At 43.6% G+C, this 23,763-nt stretch overlaps 1 long non-coding RNA gene across 2 annotated transcripts; it reads left to right on the forward strand.

Annotated features, from left to right (window-relative positions):
* Window positions 1-6,066: 6,066 nt before the first annotated feature.
* Window positions 6,067-22,029, forward strand: LOC105369575 (uncharacterized). Of its 2 annotated transcripts, XR_001748457.2 has the most exons (5): window positions 6,067-6,233; window positions 8,791-8,928; window positions 9,197-9,954; window positions 17,467-17,520; window positions 17,682-22,029. It is a non-coding gene; the product is annotated as an uncharacterized LOC105369575 (long non-coding RNA). The 2 variants fall into 2 exon arrangements; XR_007062954.1 differs by having other exon boundaries at window positions 12,182-22,029.
* The last annotated feature ends 1,734 nt before the right edge of the window (window positions 22,030-23,763 follow it).

A 23,763-nucleotide genomic window follows, 5' to 3' on the forward strand; every position in this document is an offset into this window, starting at 1 on the left:
ATTGAATATGTATACTAAGTATTTTGTGTACATAATCTCAAAATTTTACATCAAGTATTACTGAGACTATTATCTACCAGTTTTACAGGTGGGTAAATTGAGGTTCAGACAGTGGCCTCTCCAAGGACACAAACTCATAGGAGGCAACTTTTGAAAGTGGCAAACTTGGGACGTTGCGCATATTCCTGATGCTGGTATAATCTTTTTGCCTCCGAAGGAAGCTAACTAAGTAGAAGCAAGAAGAGGACAGATCTGGGCCATATGAATGTTAGGAAACACTTCAGAACCACAGCTGAATGGTTGCTGTAGGAAGATTCTGCAGGCTCTGAGCAGCTCAGGAGCTGCTCATTCTCTTGCCTTCTCCAGGCTTCTTTAAGAGCTGGGGTTTGAAGTTTGCTGGCTAGAAGGGGTTGGAGAGAGAGATGCCCCTTCGATAGGACAGTCCCTAGCTCAGCATGATTGGTCACTTGAGTTTAGAGCTTTGCAAACACTGTTTTACTGATTTCTCACAGCATTCTTGCAAGGCAGATATTACTCTCTATTTTACAAATGAGGAAACTGAGGCTCTCAGAGGTTAATGCTCAAGGATGCTTAGCTGATTCGTGGTAGACCCAGGATTTGTGTCCTGGCAAATTAGTCAGATTCTGCCCATGCATTTAATTACTGCACTAAATGCAAATAAAGTTCTTACCACGGTGAATTGCCAGGTGAAAAGCTAGGGGACTGGAATATAGCAAGCACTCGATAACTTGTAATTATTATCTTATCAACAGAATTTCAGCTCATTGCAGGCAGGGACTGACCATTTTGTATACATCTTTCTATGTCTCTAAGTGGACAGTGCAGGACAGAGCTGTTGATGCTTAATACTCACTGGCCATGATTACTTCAGAAGTAATAGCATCCGTGGAGAAGGGTTGACGGTACGAGCACAGCACAGCTCACGGCATGTGATGTGGACATGTTTGGTGATGATTGACAGCTCAGCTGTCCCATGGGAACCCAGCTGGCCAGGCTGAGAGTCTAAGGCTCTCCAGGGAGTGGAAGAGCCTGGGAAAATCTGTGACGAGGAGCCGAAGGGTCATTTCCAGCTGTAAAAATTCTAAGATTTGGTTTCCAGAGAAAAGAGAGAGGATATGGGTTCACTGAGTTTGGAGACCTCAAAGTAACCACAGGGTTTTCTTAATTCTAGCAACCAGCCATGGATTGCAGCAAGTCAAGGAGGCAGCAGGGACGCAGGAGAGACACAGAAAGCATTCGATGCCCCTTTAGGGAGGGAGTGTCCAAAAATGATTCCAGCCTAATCTCCCTCCCAATCATTGTAGAAAACAACTATGGGGACTCAAAGGAACAAACACTGCATGTTTGGACCTGACGTCCTCCAGCATTGGTGGCAGCTTCCTCCCGGAGGGCACAACTATCTCCTGTCTTTACAGGGCTTCCCTAATTTCAGACCAACTCCAGCTCCCAGCTTGCTCTTGGCCCCTCTTCTATTGGGTTCACTTGGGTTCACTCTTTTTTTGTTTTTTTGTTTTGTTTTGTTTTGTTTTGTTTTTTGTTTTTTTTTTTGAGATGGATCTCTCTCTGTCACCCAGGCTGGAGTGCAATGGCATGATCTCGGCTCACTGCAACCTCTGCCTCCCGGGTTCAAGAGATTCTCCTGCCTTGGCCTCCTGAGTAGCTGGGATTACAGGTGCCTGCCACCACGCGCAACTAATTTTTGTATTTTTAATAGAGACAGGGTTTTGCCATGTTGGCCAGGCTGGTCTCAAACTCCTGACCTCAGGTGATCTGCCCACCTTGGCCTCCCAAAGTGCTGGGATTACAGGTGTGAGCCACCATGCCTGGCCTGGGTTCACTCTTTAACAAAGGGGAACTCCTAACGAATCAACACTTTTTGCCAAATACCCCATAGGTCAGACATCACTTTTGTCATGAAGTATGCAGACAACAGGTCAAATCAGAAAACCCGGGCAACTTTGAACAATCCACCTTAGCCAGAGAGGGACAAGAGCCAGCATTCCAGGCAAACACAGGGCACATGAGGTCCACCGAGAAACGATTTATTTGCTTTTGGTAATGGGCCTTCTCCGTCTTTAAATGCTAGCAGCTAGAGTGAGTGAAAGGGATTTCTGAAAGGTTTGTTTTGGGGTGGGTTTGAAAGCTCCCCTCTCTTGCTCTGTTTTTCTTTTTAGGCAGCTTTGCACAAGGGGCAAGTCTCCTGCCAAAAGGCCTCGTAATGCCCCTCTTTAGGGACTGAATTTATCCGCTCAGCTGTCCCTTGTAAATTTATTCCTGTGTGAGATTTTCCCCAAACCATTCATTCCTCCGCTTAGCTCAGGCAGCTGGAATGCAGAAAAAAATACATTTTTTTCCCCCAAGAATGTGCCTTTGTGTGCTTGGAGGGGCTGGGCTAAGGAGAAAAGAAAACAATCATGTGCAACGATGCACACACACACACACACACCGGACTGTGATGCACACACACACCGGACTATGATGCACGCACACGCACACACACACACACACACCGGACTATGATGCACACACACACCAGACTATGATGCACACACACACTGGGCTACAATACACATGTACATGCCAGGCTATGGTGCGCGCGCGCACACACACACACACACACACACACACACACACACCCCGAGCTATGATGCCCATGAACACACTGGGCTATGATGCACACACACACACATCGATTTATGATGTACACACGCATGCTGAGCTATGATGCCTGCATGCACACATGTGCACACACACACACCAGGCTACGAAGCACACAGACACACGGGGCTACAAGGCACATACACACACATAGGGCTATGCTATACACACACGCACCGAGCTAGGATGCACACGTACATGCCAGGCTACGGTGCACACACACACACACACACACACACACACACCGAGCTAGGATGCACACGTACATGCCAGGCTATGGTGCACGCACACACACACACACACACACACCGAGCTAGGATGCCCATGCACACACTGCGCTACTAACAGCGCCGCCGGGGCTCGGGGCTGCCCTGGGCGGTGAGGGCGGCTAGGGCTTCCTGGCTCCCAGTGCCCAGTGTGTCTGTGGTGTGGGCTGCGGGCCCTCCACCCGGGACGTGGCCAGAGCAGCACCTCGCTGGTTGTTTCCACAGCAACATCACAGTTTCACTAGAATGGAAAGCCACAGCGGTTTGGAGCCAGGAGAGGCTTTCCAGCTGCATGTGTGCATGAGGGTCTGTGGGGAGAGGGGCGCTGGGAACTTTGACTTGATTTTTCCTTGAGTGATTATGGTATCCCAGGCAGGTGAGGGCTGTGGCAGGAGCTGGAGGTGACATATGTGCTTAAGGAATTCAGGCTGCCTGAGGGGCAGGGAGAATTTTCCTGCAAGCCACGATGACTGAGGAGACCTGGGAGACTTGGCAGGGATGTGAGCCCACTGACCTCTCCATCCTTTGCGCGGCCATGATGTTTCTCTGCCACGATATCCCAGCACGTAGAGATGGTTGGAAGTTTAGCAGTGATGGCAGAAGAGTCAAGGACAGGAGTTTGCCCATTTTCTGGAACAACAACAGCAAAAACCAACCATGTGCCACGGAGCAAAGAGATTCTGCGGGAAGGTCTACGAGCAAGAGATGAGAAGTCCGGGTGTGTGGCTGTCTGTTCCTCCAGCTGCAGTCCAGGCAGGCGGGATTCACCCCAGCACCCCAGTTACAGATTCACAACTATGTCCATAGCATTTTGCGAGGGTTTCTGCCAAGAACTTCTGCCCTGCCAAGAATCCAAGTATTCTCTGAAAAACAGGCAAACAATTTGTAGAATCAATGAGCCTACAGCAGCCATCATTTTCTGCCTATGGAGTAGACACACTTTTTGGGTGCAGGTGCCACCTTTTTTTTTTTTTTTTTTTTTTTGGAAGCGAAGGTCTCACTCTGTCAGTCACCCAGGCTGGAGTGCAGGAGTGCAGTGGTGGGATCATAGCTCACTGCAGCCTTGAATTCTTGGACTCAAGTGATCCTCCTGCCTCAGCCTCCTAAGTAGGCAGGACTACAGGCATGCACCACCACATCTGACTAATTTATTTTTTATTTTTTGTAGAGACAGGGTCTCACTATGTTGCCCAGGCTGGTCTTGAACTCCTGGCCTTAACAGAGCCTCCCACCTCAGGCTCTCCAGGTGCTGGCATTACAGGTGTGAACTGCCGGCTAACAAGTGCCACTTTTATCCCTGCAGCACAAGAAGATTTGGGGAACTTAAAATGTTGTTCTGATTTTTCTTATATTTCCAAGCGCCTGCCATGAGCCTGCTGGCCAGAGCTAACCCGTGTGGCTGTGGTTTCAGGAACACATCACTGCTTCTAGTTTGAGCTCCTTATTTGCCACTGGGTTGATGGGATCCGATTGACTGTAGGCTACGCCCAGGAAGAGGCAAAAAAGAAATGGATGATGAAGACTTTGTCTTTAGGGAGTTGGCTGTCTTATGGGGAAGATGGTAGGAGCTGAAAGGCAACATCAGACTGGAGAACAAGTTAGAAAGTGGTGAGTCACAGGTTTCCCAAGCTTCCCGGACCTGTTCAGGAAATGTGGTGTGGCTGGGGTTCCGCCTTTCTCATAAGCTCCGAGTAAAGCCAATACAGCTGATCCACTGGCCACTCTGAAAAGCAAGGAGCTAGAACAGTCACCCAATGGGCCAGGGAGGCATTTTTGCCTCCCTGGAGATGGCAGAATGGGTAATACTCTCAATATAACTTTCCTGCCATTGTTCACGGGCAAGATGGTAGCTTCTTTTTTGTAAGCCTGTCTTTCCGGGTCTTGCCCTCCCGGAAACACTAAGCAGTTCAAATACCCATTGTCAATTTCAGCATGCCATCCCTTGGAATGAATGGGTTTAAGGGCAACTACAGTTTGTTCCTGAAACTGCAGTATCACTAATGGCTAAGAGCACTTGACATTAGTCAGACCTGGATTTGTCCTGGCTCCCCCACTTATATGGCCATGCAGACTTGAAGAAGTTACCTGTTCTCCTATCAACTTAATTTCCTCAACTGTACAGACTAAATGTAATAATATGTGTGAAGCATTCAATTAACATCAGCTATTATCATGACTGGTTGTGAAATAATTGATGCATATCATAAGTCATGAGCTGCAGGTCCAGGGGCCACATCTGCCATTCCCCAGATGGGTTTAATTTGGCCTGTACCGTGTTTTAAATAACGTTGAGTTTGTTGCCAACATTTTAAAATTGGGAAATTTCACATAAAAATCTGAATTTGGGGCTTATATTGAAAAATCATTAGCTCTGACAAACCTGGCACCAATTTCTTGCGTGGTAACAGTGGGTTAGCACTGGGGCTGAGCAGGGCTGGAAACTTTCCATGGCATCTGCACCTCCAGTTCACCATCGCCCAGTCCTCTCTTTGTGATACCTTCTCTCTGTGGACATATGTCCTTGGGTCCCACATCTATAGGGTCCCGTATGACTCTAGAATTCTAGCTATTTCGGCTCACTGGTATGTAGTAACGGCTTCTGGAACTCAACAAGAAAATGCAAGGATTATCTTGCCAACAATGCTTCTACTGCTTAAATGAAAGAAATCTGGTAGTTCTTCTCTGAGATCCAACAGAGCCGGTGCATTTATTGCTCTCAGTGGTATGTCTGGGGACCAGAACCCGCTGGCTCTAGAAAGTGCCCCTCGCCCATCCCTGCCCATGGGTTGCATCAGCAGCGTGTCTTCTTTGTTCTCTCCCTGAAGGGTAGGATGCTCATGACCTTGGCCTTGCAGTTTGGGTGGGTGCACCTCCTGTCCTGGTGCTGACATCTGGATGATTTATGAACATCATTACCCTTTCACTGGACTCTTACTCTTCGGAGTCTTCAGAGCTGCCTGGGCCTAGCGCCCAAGAAGTTTGCTCCTTGCATCAATGGCGATGCTAGACATATTCTACTGGCTGTGGCCCAAAGGTACTCCTGGTGCCTGTGTGGGAAGGGCCACGATGGGAAGAATGCTCCTTGCTCGCTCTCATTCTCCCAGCTTTTTATTTTTTATAGGCTGGAGGTGGAACTGTAAGAGCAGAGAGGAGGAGAAGGCTCACCATGAAGACAAAAGAAGTCCTGAGCCTTGGATTTTCTTCCTCTAGGGCTTTGTGGACCCACAGATTGGTAGAAGTTCTGTGAGGGCTGACTTCTCCCCATCTGTCCCAGATGGATCCCTTAAGGTGGGTGAGCCCTGGGGAGGTACTGGGTCTGCTTGTGGAGAGAATTCTCAGGGGTCAGGCCTGAAAGAGCTCATGCGGCTGTTCCTGCGGGTGGGTCAGTTTCTCTGGTGCATAATGAATAATGCTGCATGGGTTCTGGACTGTCCCCGTCCCCGGTGGAGGGTTTCAGTATTCTTGCAGGCTCTTGGTTGTGTGGATAGTGAGAAACAGTGGGTCTGCTCTTGGGAAATGTGCTCTAATGACTCTTTACCTACATGTCGAATTCTCTAACCTTGGGGACAGATGCACCATGAATTTGGTTTTGTAGGTTTGTGTATGAAGGTGGATAACAGACTTGTTAAAAGAGCTTTGAAATTCCTGCCATAACCTCTAAATAGTGGGAGTAGAGCAACCAAATTCTCTGAAGAGATGAGGAAAATACCCCTTTGGGCAGAGTCAAGCTTGCTATTCTTTAAATTCCTTCAGCTGGCTCAATAGGAGAGGAAGGGACAGCCAGAAGTCATAGGTCGTTTTCTGGAGGTTTGATAGCCTGAAGGTAATCCTCTCGTGTGTTCCCTCACCTAAAGATGAAGAATTTTCGTGTACTAGAAGTTGGGTTTACTAATCCTGTAGCTCTGGAAATGAATGGCCTTGCCTTCTCTAACTGTCCAGCTACCTGGCATCATGTAGACAGGCCCTTCAGGTGACTGAGGGTTCTGGAACTCAGTTGCTAGAGGCACACACGAAGAGCCTGCTCAGAACCTCCTGTGTTTCCCACAGCCTCAAGAGACGGGCAAGGCAAGAGCCCTAGAGCCTGTCTAACCCATGTCTCTGCAGGGCACAGGTTCTGTCACACTGAGTGTGGGTAGTTTTCCACCACAAACTCTGCGCCAGAATCACTGGAAGCTTCATGAATAGAGATTCTTAGGTGCCACCAGTGCACCGAGTCAGCACTCTGGAACTGAGCCGGAGATTGCACTTTTAACAAGCACCCCAGGTGCCTCTGAGCTGAAGAACCGCCAGTCTCACGTGTGGACTTTAAAATCTCATGCAGAGAATGTTTCTCATTGCTCAATTTAAAACCCTTTTTAATGGTGTCTCTGCTTAGAGTGGAGACATTCCAGGAAGAGAAAACTAAGCACAGGGAAGCTAAATACTGAGCCCTGGAGGGGTCAGGATATGGGCCTCATCATCATCTGGTGCTGTTTCACACTGCGCTCGGGTCAGGTGCGTGAGAGCCCCATTAGCTGGGATGCCCGCTGTGCAGGAGCGTCTATAATCTCTTCTGGATGTCCCAGCTAAGCCTGAATTGTTTTCTTAAAGGCTTGACCCAAATGCACCCTGATTCCAGGTGGAACACATTTTCACGTAAACCATCAAATGCTGGCTCTGAAGGGAATTTAGAGATCTATTCCAGAGCCCTTGTGTGTGTGTGTGTATATATATATATATATATGGAATTATAGGTTAGAAACAGACAAAAAAAGTGCCATGATGATAAATTCCTGAATGTACATTCAAGGAGCTTCGTGGAGAGAGGAACTTGGGAGAACAAGCAACTACCAGATTCAGCCAATGACTGGGCAGCAATGGCCTCTAGTTCCCTGAGAATCCCTTCAAGGTGGGGGCTGCACTCCAGGCAGGGACTCTGCAGCTCCACGTCCTCACTGGGCTTCTCCTGCCTATGGCCCAGCTCGCCCAGCCCCACCCTGCCTGGGCAGGAAACTTCCAGGCTCTTCCACCAAGAAATGCAGGCACCCTAACTTGCATGGGGTAGGATTTATTCTGTAAATACTGAGTGCCGATTCTGTGCGATTAACAGGAGAGATGGGAGCCACTCTTGCAGAGCTTACTATCTTATTCTAAACTTATTAAATTCTGTTTATGTGTTTTTAATTGTATAGTTTCTGCCTGTAGAGAAAATGTTGGTGCTTTGGGAGTTGGGGTGGGGGTGGTAAGGAAGCCTTTTCTGAAAGGGTCACAACTGAAGTGAGATTTGAGTGACAAAGGGAGCTGTTGAGAGATAAGGCGCCGGGGACAGCAACTGCAAAGGCCCTGAGCAAACTTGGTTCTGTTCCAGAAAGGCAAAATGCAGCAGTGAGGGTGGGGAAGGCCCTGACCATGGAGGGCCTTGCAGGTTGTGGAAGGGGTTTTAAACTATGAGGGGACCTGATCTGACTGACATTTCTAAAAGTTCCTTCTGGCTGTTTTGAAGAGAATAGATAGGGTGAGGTAAGGACAGGAGCAGGAACAGCATTTAGGAGGCTCTTGCACCTGCAGGCAGAGCTGGCAAGGTCTGAAGCCTGAGGGTAGGAGAGGACGTGCAGAGGTCAGGTGAGAGCAGGACATGTTTAGGGGAAACAGCAGAAAGGGTTTGAGGACAGAGGTCTTCTTACATGAAAACCCTGGCGAGAGTATGACATACATATGGGAAGACTGTAATTTTCTAGTCACTTCAGCATAAGCTTCGGAAGGGCAGGTGCCATGCCTACTGAATGCAGCATTGCATACTGTTGGTGAGTCACCTCTTCCTCTGAAACTGCAGTTTCCTACACTCACCCAGGCACCCCTTCTCCAGGCTCAGGACACCTCAGAGGACTGGTGCATGGGCTGCAGCCAGCCTGACCCAGCTCTATAAAGAAGCTCACCCTTTACAGATGCCCCAGAGAGGCCCCCATCCTGCCCTGCAGCCAGCTTCCTGGGCAAGTGGGATCAGGTCAGTACATGCGCCTGTCCTTCCCTGAGCGTAAAAGGGGAGTGTGGAGGGAGATGGTATTTGAAACTTGGCAGTGGGGACCCACACAGACATCAAGAACAATCCCTTTGGCTTTCCATTTGCCAAGTTGTTTCAGGGTCCAGGGTTTGTGACTCATCCTGAATGGAAACACTTGTACAGCACCACGTGGCTCCTTTCCGCCCCTGGCCGGGCGGCAGTGACCCAACCAGCTCTGCACTTTCTTTCTTCCCTTTTAATGTATCCATAGGCACTCGGGGTCTCCCTCCTCCAGGGTTTCCTGAAACAGGATGCATTCAGCCCTTGTAGAGTTGCTGGGGAAGTGGAAGGAAAACAGAGGTGACTCTTGAAGCCCCAGGAGCTGACCTTAGATCTTGACACTCCTGGTGTGTGCAAAGGTCTGAGGAGACGGCCAGATTGAGGTAAAGCAGTAAAAATCCGTGCTTGTCAGGAAAGTAGCAAGAGCCGAGTTCTACACTAACCATTGGCTGGCCTGGGGCAGCCTGCAGCTGCACAACTGCCTCGTACAATGGCATGGACAAGCAGTGTCGGTGACGTAGCAGGCCGCTGGGGACCTGGGAGACATCCTGCTGCTGCAGGAGTCCTGTGCAGAGCAGAGGAGAGAGCAGTTTGGCAAGTGCAGGGGTCCCACTCTTCTTTTGGTTGGTGGCAGGGAGCAGGTGGGGCCTAACCTGGGTGGACAGTGTCTACCTCCCTTCTGTGCATTTTGCATTGGCCTTAATTGGTTCTCCCGGGATAGTCACGAAAGCCCGACCTTTGTTCCAGGTAAAGTGCTGCATGTTTCATGTGTACAGCTCATTTAATCTTCACAGGACCTTATGAAGTAGTTATTATATCTATTATCATCACAGAAAAGAACACTGAGCCTCAGAGAGGTCAAGCAATTGGCCCAAGATCACACAGCCTGCAAGAAACAGAGATGGGACTCAGACCCTGGTCTATTTGGCTCCCATGTGCCTTACTACTATGTTATACCCACCCCTCCAGGTAAGATTGGGAACCAGCTGTGGAAAGACTTTAATAACGGGATGGAGGGACTGCCAAGCTCTCCCTCTGGCAGGATTGATTTTGCAGAGACTGTGAGCTTAATGAGAGCAAAACTCAGGTCTTATACTCCTTCATGTGCCCTGCAGACTCCAGAAGTGCTAGGATGTAAGAGGCAGACAAAAGAGTGATGTTACTGCTGTGAACTTTCATTAGGATGTGTAGAGTTCTGTTATATGTTTGGAAAAAAATCCATAATCTCAAGAGGCTATATAATGCTCAGAACAGCTTTAGAAATTCTCTTTGGAAATTGCTTTCTGAGCCCCAGGCACATAAATAATATTTTTATATATATCCTCAATCAAGGCAAGCCTTAGTCCTTCGAGGGTAGCTTGGAATTCCATAGGAATCTGAAGGTAACTCAGAGCCAAACTTGGTGAAGGGGGTGAAGTGTCAATTTCAGATTTGCAGTTTTGTTCAAAAACATGTTGATAAAGCAGCAGGCTGATGGTCATGAGCAGCTCACTAGCTGATTCAGAAGACATTTCTCTGCTGCAGCCAGCCCTGCTTCTGTGACTTCACTCACACTTTCCATCCGAGTGGAATAGCTCACCCTTGCCTCTTTCACACTCAGTCCCGTCCATCCTACACTCCACCCTTTCCCCAAATTCCTGTTCATTGTTCCACGTCCTCCCCAAGGGTTAGTGAATGGCCTCATAGCTGAAAGTGCTTTACTTGAAGCGAGTCCTGATTCTCCCAATCCGAAGGCCCTGCTCTCACCCTGCTTTTCACCCGCGCTGCTCCCTGGGCTCTTCAGAGGCGATTTCTCCTGCCTTGCTGTTTGTCTGTGCTCTCCACTGGACCATGAGCTCGCTGAGAACAGCGTCTGAGATACTGTAGTCCCAGGATCTGCAGCCTTTGCTGAATTGACGTGGATAAATGTACTATTTTGAGTACATTTGCAGGAAAGGGTGAGGTTTGTCCTGGAGAGGGAATAGGGCCAGAGACACACAGTGTCCCACCATTCAGGAATTCGATGCCTACAGCAGGTGTCCTGTGGCTCACCGTCCTACACATGGCTCACCCAGAGTTTGGTAGCTTGATTTTGGAGGCATACCTAGAATGTCTAGAATTCTCAATTACTCAGAAGGTAGGATTTGGAAAAAACAGAGAGTGGAGCATCAGAAAAGTGAGAAGAGAAGAGACTCAGGACCCCAAACCCATGCACCTCAGCTGACAAAACCAACGGACTCTCACTAACCTAAATTCTAAACCCTCAATAAAGAGAAGCAGCAAAGGTCTGCAGCTTTCTCACCTGCTGGGTTGGTCAATGTGGTGCTGGTGTGGATGCAGCCAAGCGTTTCAGCTATGAGGCCATTCACTCACACTTCACCCTTATTTCACTCTGCTTGTTATGGTCTGAACTGTGTCCCCTCAAAATGTGTATGTTGAAGCCCTAACTCCCAATGTGACCCTTAAAGAGGTAATGAAGGTTAAATTAGAACCTTAAAGAGGTAATGAAGGTTCAATTGGGGCCCATGGGTGTGGTCCTAATGCAATATGACTGCCATCCTTATTAGAAAAAGAGACATCAGTAATGCCAGTGGACAAGCCCAGGCAGAGGGCAGCTGTCTGCAAGCCAGAGAAAGAGGCCCCCAAGAAACCAACCCTGCTGGCAGACTTCCAGACTCCAGAATTGTGACAGAAGAAATTTCTGTTGTTTTAGCTACGTGGCCTGTGATTTTGTTTTGGCAACCCCAGCAGACATCGCTGCTTTCATTTTCTTCTCCATCCTTTTCTTTTTCCTATTGTTTTATTCCCACCTGCTCAATCTCTATCTTTTATTATTTATTTCTTTGTAGAAACAACAACAACAAGAGTATAAACTGATTTGGAGACTGTGGTTTAGAATTCTACCAGATAGATAAAAATCAGCAAACTGGACATGTGGGTTTCTGTAGTTACAAATCTTCCATCTAAAATCTTATTTCCCAGGCATGAGTTCCATTAGGAATTTTTTTTTCTATGCATATAAACATACACATATGCTCACAATTGCATGCAATTTTCATCAGTCTGATGGGTACACCCTTCCTGATACAATTCTGGGCTTTCACTCAGTTCTAATGTGACTGGAAACTAAATGATTAAGAAATATGAATGAATTCAGCCCTCCCTAACTCAAGCTGGGGGCATATTTTCCACTCTGTCTCTTGTGCCCTCTGCCCAGGAATTTCAAGTCCCAAGAAATGGCCTCCAGAAGGAAATCCTTTGCCATCCCCCTAACTTGAGTATTCAGTGATTTCTGGAATAGAACTTGCCTGTTACAGAAATGGGAAAAATATGAAGACACATGCAATAAAAATAAAAACTAAATTTAGAATGAAGAGGAGACACAACCTAGGTAAAATTTAATTTTCATTTTGGCTCATAGGTAATTTTATCCTGAAGTGTACTAGGGATAATGATGGCATGCTGTTTCACTAGAGTAACTGAGTGAAAACATAATAATGATGAAAATAATGAACATAATTTTTTAAAAATTCACCTTGTAGCTTTGTTATCTATAGATGATGTCATTAAAAGTTCTGAGAAATAAATATTACTAATTCAAGTTTACAGATGAGAAAAAGGAAGATCAGAGGAGATAAGGGATTTGCCCAATGCTAATCAATGAGTAAGGGAAATGACCAGCGTTGGACCTCCGAATCCGAGTGTAATACATCTTTCTCTGCAGAACTTTGACTCCTTTTTCTTTCTCATTCTCTATTCTTTGCCTTCTGGGATGCCAATTGCATGTTTGTTAGACCTTCTCTCTGTGTTTTGAGCATCTCTTATAATCTGCTCATTTCTTTCTTCCATATGCCGTTCAATATACATATTTTTTTCTATTGGCATGTCTTGAAGTTCAGGGATTTGACTGCTGCTATGTTCTATCCACTGTTAAACTCATCTAGGGAGTTCTTACTTTCAGATATTGCAGTTCTAGAATGTCCATTTGCTTCTTTTTTTTTATAAATTCCAATCCTCTGTCAAAATTACTTATCTTTCCATCCGTTTTTTTCAAACTTTCCCTTATTTTTTTAAAAAAATATTTTAAATAATTTCCTTCAAATCCTTCTCTGCTAACTCTAACCATTGGATACTTTGTGCATCTGCTTTATTGTATGTCTTCCCATTTATTGTGGGTCACATTTTCCTACTTCTTGCATCTCATTACTTAGGGTTGTTTGTCAGATGTTGTTGTTGTTATGCATAAAAGACCCGCAGCTACTGAAGTTGATGTTCTTCTCCCCGAGAAAAAGTTTGCCTTTTCCTTAGCTAGGCAGACAGTACAGGGGGTATCACTGGATGCTGTGAGGAAGTGAACTAGATCACGGCTGGGACTGCAGCTGGGTGTAACTCACTCTGGTTTTGACCATCTCCTGGGGGACACATGGGGCACAGGTAGCATGGACCCCTTTCTCTAGTGCAGGCTTGTCCAACCTGTGGCCCACAGGCTGCATGAAGCCCAGGACGGCTTTGAATGCAGCTCAACACAAATTCATAAACTTTCTTAAAACACTATGAGTTTTTTTGCAAATTTCTTTTTTTAGCTCATCAGCTACTGTTAGTGTATTTTATGTGTGGCCCAAGACAATTCTTCTTCTTCTGTAGTGGCCCAGAAAAACCAAAAGATTGGACACCCCTGCTCTCAAGGGACTTTGACTCTTAAGGAACATGATACTGAGGGGGATTTGACTCATCTCTCCCAGCCCAGCCCCCTTCCTGTATAAACCAGCCTCTATCCCAAACCTTCAACAAAGCTGAGTCAAGTTCTCCTAGGCTTTGGATTGAGCTCCTATTGTGTCTCTGTCACCTCTTCCCCGAAAGCTGAGCTCTTTAACCTCCACATCATGTGGATTCAAAATCTGCCAGGTGTTCTGATTGGGGCCCCGCTGGGTGTGGTTGTCAGCCTCTTCTTCTACTGTGACTTTGACTCCTAGGCACTCTGAGGCTATGGGAGATTTCACAATTCCTGGCTGGCTCATCCCCTCAGTGTTCTGTGCCACCCCAGATGCAATAACTGCCCAGCGGGGAAGGTCAGCCATGCTTTAGGGACTTCTGGATGTTCCATTCTTTGCCAGCCTGCAGGGCCCTGGGTCTCCTCTCTCTTTTCTTCTGCTCGCAGTAAGCCCACTCTTTAGATGGCCTCAGCAAATGCCCCTTGGAAAGAAAACTGCCAGCACACTCATTTCACTCTGCGGGAGCTATTCCCCTCTGGAATGTTCATTCTTTTAGTCTCTTTTGCCTCTATGATTCTCCATACTGTTTATAAAAACATGATTTTTGTGATACATCATTTTTCCCCCTAGCTGTTGCAGTCAGAGGAATGCCTTGCTAAATCTTACTCAAAGGCGCAAGTTGGAAAACTGACGGTTAATTTATTTTTTCATCAGTGAGAGCACACCGAGTCATATTTTTTGCCAATATTTTATTATGAAAGTTTGCAAGCATACAGCAAAGTTGAAAGAAGTTTACAATCAACAACTCACATACACAGCAGTGTGTCTGTAAACTGGCTCTCTGGAGGGAAAACAAAAAATCTGATTTGTATTGTTTGCTGATTTCTGTGGTGTGAATGTTTTTGTCTTTGCTAATTTCAAGTTACCAATGTGACGTGGGGGAGATTTGTGCAATATCAGCTCTGGGGAGCGTATGTGAGCCAGCTCAGGCCCACCACTGCCTGGAGCCATCACTTAGAATCTGTCACCAACATCTTAGGGTGCTTGTTGAGTCATGTGTGTATCTTGCCCTCTATCCACTGTCAATCCATCTTATGTTTAAAATGTATTTCAATGTAAATTACAGATATAAGAATAATTCTTTCTTCTTCAACATTAACTAGAGTTGGTTCACTATTTGTTTTTCACTAACTTGCTTTTACTAATTAATTTTTTACTATTTGTTTTGATGTAAAATGAAATCTTAGTCTTAATTGTGCATTCACTGAGTTTTGACAAATCCATACACCTGTGTAATCCAGTCCCTATCAAGATATAGAATACCATTACTCCAGAAATTTCCTTTAAAGCTTGGCCAACTAAAATTTTCAGCTTTTTGGGACATGGACTGTTACTAAACAAGGCCTCCTTCATTATACTTGACCAAATGATCATTCCACCCTAAATGCATGTCTTTATAATTGTTCAATTTTGCACTCACCAGGATGAATGATCAGAAATTTGCTAATACAAAACTTTGAAAGTAGATGCACCATAATAGGCTGAAAGCTTCAGTACCCAAAGTGTACACCCATGTTGAGTCATGCCAAGAAAACATCACAGACATTAAACACAGACCAAACCCTCAGTCCCCAGGAAACAAGGGGACGTACAAGCAACCTCACATCCATCCCTTCTGATTCTCTGAAGCTCCAGCTCCCACACAAAGTACATGTGAATCATTCTGATAATAATCCCATGACATAGTTGTCATCCCAAAGAACAAGCCTTTCCAACCTCCTGCCCTGGCTGATTCGGACGACACCTCACTTGGCAATATATGCATTTGGCTTCCACCTGCCATAAGTCAAGGAAAAATATCAGGCAATGGTGGAAAACAAAATCCAGGAAAATATTCACCAAGACAAAGGAGAAAGCAATCATTTGCCTTCAGTTATGGGGAAGGATATTTTAGGCTCAAGTGGTGAGAAATATTGGACAGTGTTTCAGTTCTCAACCACTAAACCATGTTCCAGATGAAGAAGGCAGGTTTGGAGAAAAGCAAATAGAATCTCTCACCTGATGGGCCAAACTAGAAAACATTTTCAAAAACAATTTCATATATTTGAGATATTAACCACGACAGTAATTGGGACATAGGCCTGTCTTTTATTATTTGAGAGCTGCTAAGATTATGATACCTTGCCCATATGTCACAGCTGATGAAGCTTTTGTGCTTCGCTACTTAAATTCTACCACTGATATCTCACTCACCAGACCTGTGAGAATGGATGATGCAGATTTGTTTAACCATTAGAGCTGTGTAATAATTAAATGGTTTATTGCTAGAAGGTTCCATATTTCATGACTTCATGACCACATGACTCTCTAGCGACCAGATTTTCCAAGGTGAGTTTGGGTCATTTTCATTTGCCAAATAAAAATATGATACCCAGAGATAAAGAATATTCAAGAATGTGTTATTATTTAGCTCATTCAACAAATGTGTATATTTATATATTTACTTCTGATCTCTTTTTCACACATCAACAGAGTTATGCTTTGTAGAATAATGATTTGTGAACAATACCATTTCCCTGCTATTGCACATTTATGGTGTTTCCAATTTCTTCATACGACAGGTATTGCCACAATAAATAACAAGGCATAGAAAGCGTTCTCTGTATATTGGGTTATTACTTAAGCATAGATCGAGGGATGTAAACCTTTTTAATACCCTTGAGCAACATAATAAAATTCCCTTCCTAAAAGACTGTATAAATTTACAAACCTATTTTAAAAAGTCTCTGAGCGTCCATTTCACTGCAGCCTTACCAGCACAGAGTGATGGTAATATATTGAACATGTCAAGTTTGAGTAGGGCACGCAGATCCAGGCTGGATATTACCACTCCAACTTTGGAGAATGTTCTGAAACAGGCCCTGATCAGTAGACTTAGCTGGGTGAACTTTAAGGTCCCTGCTAAACTTCTATGATTATATTTGCAATCAAATTTTAATTATGACACAGCTAGTTATACTATGATTGTTTTAATAATACAGCAATTATTTTCCATAAAATATTACTAAAAATATGCAGAAAATGCCTGAATTAGTTCATATGATAGATATTGGTATAATCTTTTGGTTTTCAGGATATTTTGAAGACTAAAGTGGGCATGCTTACAATTAATTGATTTAAGATGCAAATTATTTTTACTGTTTAGGTATATATATGTGTGTATATATATATCTAATATATATATAGGTGATATGTTTGCTTGGGCTGCCATAACAAAATACCACAAACTGGGTGGTTTAAACAATAGAAATTTATTTCTCACAGTTCTGGAGGCTAGAGGTCCAAGATCAGGGTGCCAGCATGGATGAGCTCTGGTGAGGATTCTGTTCCTCACTTACAGATGGCCACCTTCTTGCTGTGTCAATGAGGTGTTAAATGAGGACATAATAAAAGGAGAGAGAGTTGAAGAGACAGAGTGGGGAGGGTTGGGGAGAGATAGACATATCTTATAAGGCCATAGTCCTATTGGATTAGTGTTCCACGTTTAGGACTTCATTTAGCCTGAATCACCTCCTGAAGACTCTTTCTCCATATATAGTCACATTGGGAGTTAAGGCTTCAATGTATAATTTGGGGGAAACACATTTTAATCCACAGCAGTATGCATCTCCAATAAAAATGTATGGTTGGGATAATAGTTGAACAATACTAAAGCATATCTTTTTGAGTATAAATCGTCAAGTTGATTTTGTTTTCAGTCTCAAGTGTTTTTCTATGACTTCTTGTCAAGTCTCCTTCTAGGTCACCAGCTGGGATGGGAGGCCAACTCTCCAAATCAGAAGAGGTAAGCAGTTGTTACTGAGGAGTTGACTTCCTTCCCATTTTGTTCCCTTCAGATTTGGGATTTATGTTAAGACCTTGTTATGATTATCTAGTGCTACATAACAAATCGTTCCAAAATTTAGTGGCTGAAAACAATGGCAATCATTTTACTATCTGTTACAGTTTTTCTGGGTCAGGAATTTGAGCAGGACTTGCCTACGTGATTTTGGCTTGAGGACTCTCACATGGTGGTAATAGATGGAAGTTGAAACTGGAGCAGAGGAGCAGAAGTGGCTGGAGTGGCAGGAACTGGCCAGGCATCTCTTCCTCTCTGGATATATAGACACTGGGCCTCTTCATCGGGTCTTTCTGCAGGGCTGGTTGTGCTTCCTCACTGCATGGTGGCTCAGGGCAGTCAGACCACCTGCGTGGTGGCTCAGCACTCCAGCACAGTGTCCCATCACTCAAGGTAGAAGCTGCATTGTCCTCTAGGGCTTAGCCTCTGAAGCCATGCAGCGTCACTTCCTGAGCTTCCTTGTAACCACTTCCTGTTGGTTATAAGTGAGGCACAAGCCCATCCAAATTCAAAGGAAGAAGAGTTAGACTCCATCACTTAATAGGAACGTGGCAAGATTCTAGAAGAGCAAATGGGATAAGAATTATTGTTGCATTCATCTTAGAAAAATACAATCCGCTACAAAGCCCCCTCATGGAGCACCCAGATCTGAGAAGGGGGTGCTTTCCACTAAAGTCTCTGCCTCCATTTTCCACTTCCTCTGCTTCCTTCTCCTTCTTGTGTTCTCCATGAGCATTAAACCAAAATAAACAGTTCTGAGTACCCCTTTTAATCAAGATGTGTGAAAAAATGTGGAAGCTCATCCTTGGAAGAATAATAATAGAAACTAGCTTTATTTATCCTGGGTAAGAGACGTAAGAGGAGATGATGGGATCACTATCCCAGCACATGTGAAAGACGGGAACAGGCTTGTCCTGGGCTGCTCCAGAGGGTGGGTGGTACAGGATTTTTCACAGTCCTGGAGAAACTCAGAGGCTTCCTTGGCTGACCACTTTTTTTTTTCTCTTTTTCAGCTTTATTGAAAAACAAATGACAAATAAAAGTTGTATATATTCAAGGTATACAATGTGATGCTTTGATACATTGTGAAATGATGACCTCAGTCAAGCTAATTAAGATATCCATCACTTCCTGGAGGTACCTTTGTGTCTATATGTGGTGAGAATACTTACAACCTACTCTCTGAAAATTTGAAACATACAACCCATTGTTATTAACTACAGTCACCTGATGGATAAGAGAGCTCTTGGCTAGTATAAATAGAGCAAGTATTTTCCATAAAAATATGGAAAATAAGCAAGTGTTTTCCATAAATAGAGCAAGTATTTTCCATAAAATATCACTAAAAATATGCAGGAAAGGCCTGAATTAGTTCATATGGCAGATATTGGTATAATCTTTTGGTTTTCAGGATTTTTTGAAGTCTAAAGTGGGCATGCTTACAATAAATTAATTTAAAAGTGGTATCAGTTTTATATGTTCTGCATACAATTTTCTTTTTAAGAGTACCCTGTGGGTTAAAATATATTTACAGAGCAACCTCTCCTAACAAAAGAAAATTTCAGACCATTAGGCTTGGTCAGATAAATGAATGTTAGAGGGGCAAAATCAGGTGTAGCAAAGATTAGTCCATTGCAGAAAGAAACTAGGACTGTGCCTCTCCAAATAGGAGAGTACCAAAGAGGGTACACCCCTGTACCCCAGGGGTGTCTAGTAGTGTGCCTTTGGGTCCTAGAAGATGTAGAATAAGTATGGTACATCATCACAACAAGTAATTTAGGACTGTTTTGCAATAAAACAATCAATATTTATTATGCAGTTGATGCAATACTCACATATATTTTAAATTAGATGCTCTATGAGAATTTTCCAGTTGCTAATAGCTAGGCAGGTGACCCTCCTACATTCCCCTAGGATACTGTGTAGACAAGTTTGTATTGACAAAAATAAGAATGTAGACTGAAGAGCAAAACTGTTGGGTTCAAATCCTGGCTCTGTGACTTACTAGTTATATAACCCTGGGCAACTTAACCTGTTCATGCCTTAGTTTCCTCATCTCTGAAATGGAGATATTAATAATAATAATATTCACCTCATGGGGTGATTGAAAGAACAAAATGAGTTAATTTTAGTGTTTAAAGGAGTGCCTTGCGTGTGGCAAGTACCATGCAGATGCTCATTAAATAAAAGCTTGAGAACTATGAATGAGCCTCTCCGAGAAGGTCAAGAATGGGCACATAGTCTGGGTGATCATGAGCAGAGGCTGGAAGTGATGCATTCTGTTGAAGGAATTGTTCATGGGGTGGCCACTCCTTCAAAAGGAATTATAAAAATCTAAGACTTGAAGCTGAGATCCCCCACCTGCTGGGTGGTGTTTGATGGTCTAAACTGGGGGTTTGCAAACTCTTTCAGCAAAGGGCCAAGTAGTATATCCTTTAGAATTGTGGGTCATCCAGTCTTTGTCACATTTGTTCAACTCTGCCATTGTAGTGTGAAAGTAGCCATGGATGATATATACCTGAATTAAATGGACTGTTGTGCTGGGCTGGGGCCACAGTCCATAGTTTGCTGCTGCTTGTCTAGATCCTGCGGGGCCTGAGCAAGTGAGCTGGAAATAAGGTGGCTGTTGAGGGGGCTGAGGAGCAACAGGAAGTGAGAAGGGAAGGGAGATGGGTGCAGCACCACTACAATGCCACTTCCTTCCTGGGGTGAACTCACTTAGACTTTGAATAGGTTCTCTGCAGAGATGACTGAGACACTTGGAGCCATGCGCCTGCAGAGACACAGTGGGGGACCATGTTAGAAATGGGAGTAACAAGTCATTCATTCTTACTATATGTTTCGTTATTGCATGGCAAAGGCTTTGAAAAGAAAGCTGAGTCTTTTATTTTCCTGTGAATCAGCTCCGAGCCCCTGGAACAATGTTGTTCATTCTGCGGATGCTCAGCAAGCCCTTGCTGACTGTCTTTATTTCTTCACCTGCAATAAGATCCCCCCAGGCCCATATGGAAACGTAAATGTTCTTGAGGGACTAATTCAGTGAGACTCTTCCAGGGGAAGTTCAGTCCTCCTGGGAAGTGATTACACACTGATGGAATTTTTGCACACTGGATGGAAAGATGATCTTTGCCTCTTGGCTGTGTCACAGTAATAAGTGGGAGACTGATTATTTCTAAGAGTGCAGCTCTTCCCGGCACTGATAAGAATGGAATGCAGCGCTACCATGGAGATTCGGGTCACTAATTAGTCCCAGAAGCCTCTAGGCCTTGAATCACTGTTATATTAATTATGCATCAAATTAGAATGTTTGCAAAGGCTCAGAGCCAACTGTACTGCAGAACCCGGTGACAGCATGGAGAGATCAAGGAGTGTCCCGCCCAGCACACTGCAGGGACCAGCAGACAAATCCACGCGGCCTGCCTGAGCGTGCAGTGACCCCGCCTGATCTCTGATACAGCTGTTCGCAACTCCTGCCAGAGAGCTTGTTATCGGCACAGGGTGGACAAAAGAAGGAAAGGAAGAGAACGATGGCTTCCCCTCAGTTCCATAATCTAAGCTCTACTGCGGTAATATCCAGCTGAGAAAAGACACAGGACAATCATTTGGGCACTTTATTTCCATGGTAACAAATAGAAGATTCTTCCAGATGTTTGCTAACATCGTGGAGGTAACATGTCTGGACCGTTGTCTGATATTCAGTTTTTATAGCTGGGGAGACATGGCTTTAGCTTTGGGTAAACTATTCTATCTCTTCCTCCTCTTCCTCTGCCTCCTTCTCCTTCTTGTGTTCTCCATGAGCATAAAACCAAAATATACTTGATGCTTTGTTGTAAAATAAACAGATGATAAATAGCAGTCTCTGTGACTGTTGGGTTATAATTCCATCGAGGGCTGGGGTTGAAGTCATAAACCACAAGAAGTGAAGCATGACCCACAAATAGCCTTCAGGATGGAATTACAGCCCCATAATTCAGAGTAGCCCTTTGAAAAAATAATTCCTAAACCTAGCTATAATTTGGGGAAAGAGCCACGACAGTGGTGACGTCTTCTCTAATCAGTTCATCAGTAGACAAATTACTCCCCTTCGTTATTCTGATGATATTTATTAACGTTGGGGTGAGCACCCAATCTGTTTTCTAGGAGGTTACTGTTGAAACCAGGTAGCAGTCGCCCAAACAGAACCAAAGAAAGGGAAACTGGAGTCTCACAGTAAGAAAGTTCTCACCACAGATGAAGGTCAATGAGCATGAGGTGAGAAGAGACATTCATTACTTTGGAACTGATGAGAAATATTGATTCCTGACCACAGGAGTAGTGGCCGAGTTTGTTTTGCGTGGAGTGTGGCATAAATTCCGTCCCTGTTCTGCATCTTACTACTTCTCTAAATGTCTTTGCTATTTTCAAAACTGATTCTGCTTGATCTCATAATTCATTAAAGCAAGTTGATCTCATGCACCCCAAGAGTTATGAGAAGCTTTTTCATGATGGTTCTTGCATGATGAAAATAAATTCTCATTTATTACAGAGAAAATAAACCGAACCCAACAATTCTGTAGAAGGTGAATGTTTAAATGGCAGTTTCTTGTGATCATAAATTAAACCATCAAAATCCCATAAGGTTTCTCTGCAGCCTAGATATTAAATAAAACAACAAACATGCAAGGACTGGCAAGTGGTAAGGGCTTAATACATGGTCATTCACTACCATAATTTGTACCATAAAATTCAGAAATTCTTTACATGCTTTGTGTGTTATTATCTACTTTGTCAATGACGCTGAAGACATGAGGAGAACAAGGGTCTCATCTGACGCATTATGCCTTTCCACATAGACAATGTAGAATATTATTTAAAACAGAGTCTACAGCATGAAGAAAATAGAAGCAACAGAAAACAACAAGCTAATATATAAACTATTAAGGCAAAATGGACAAAGAATATGATCATTTAAAAGTCGAGCTTATTGAGGTATAATTTGCAGATATGCTTTGTGTTTAATTTGCTCCTTCTTTCCTAGTTTAAGGTGGAAACTTAGATCATTGATTTGAGATATGTCTTCTCTTTCAAACACAAATATATAAAAGTGTGAATTTTACTCTAAGTACTGTTTTGGCAACAACACACACATTTTGATATGTTAGGTTTTTATTTTTGCTTTGGTTCAAACTATTTTCTAATTTTTCTTGTGATTAAGTTTGAGAATTTAACAATAGAAAACAGAAAACAAATACTTCGTTATTGATTTCTATTTTAATTTTGTTATGATCAGAAAACATGCTTTGTATGATTTAAAGTCCTTTAAATTTATTGAGCCTTATTTTTTGACCCAGATATGATCTTTCTTTGTGAATGTTGTGTCTGCATTTGAAAAGAATTTGTGTTCTGCTATTGCTGGATGGAGTATTCCATAGCTGTCAGTTAAGACAGTGGTTAGTGGTTCCATTTATCTTCTATGTTTTTCTGTATGCTTGTATATCTGAGAAAAGGATGCTGAAATTTCTAACTATCACTGTGAATTTGTCTGTTTCTCCTTTTGGTTCTGTCATTTTTTATTTTATTTGTTTTGACATTGTTAGGTATTATTAGGTGCATGTACATTTGGAACTGTTATGCACTCATGATGAACTGAGTTCTTTCTTGTTATAAAATGTCTCCCTTTAGCCTACATAATAATATGTGTTCTGAGGCCTACTTTGTGTGATATGAATTACAGCCATTCCAGATTTCTTTTGATTAGCTTCTGCATGGTACTTTTTTCATCCTCTTCGTTTTATCTATATATTTATACATATTGTATATTTCTTGTAGACAAAAATAGGTATGTCTTGCTTTTTAAAACCCAATATGACAATCTGCTTTTTTAATTAGAATGTGAAGAATTTTCTCTAATATTTCTTATAATATAGGTCTGTAGTTTATGGATCCTATCAGCTTTTATTTGTATAAAAATATTTTCTCTATTTCTAATTCACTCTCTATTTTGCCTTCATTTTTAAGAGATATATTTCCTGGGAATCCTATGATGACGGTTCTTTCTGTCAGCACTTTTAAGATATTCATCCATTTTCTTTTGGTCGGCATATTTTCTCATAAGAAGTCTGCTGTCATGCTTGTCTTTATTACTCTGTAAGTAGTATGTCTTTTATCTCTGGCTGCTTTTAAGATTTGTTTATCTCTGATTTTTAACAA

The sequence above is a fragment of the Homo sapiens genome, chromosome 11 (genome assembly GCF_000001405.40).
Source record: "Homo sapiens chromosome 11, GRCh38.p14 Primary Assembly".
In the NCBI taxonomy this organism is placed as follows: domain Eukaryota; kingdom Metazoa; phylum Chordata; class Mammalia; order Primates; family Hominidae; genus Homo; species Homo sapiens.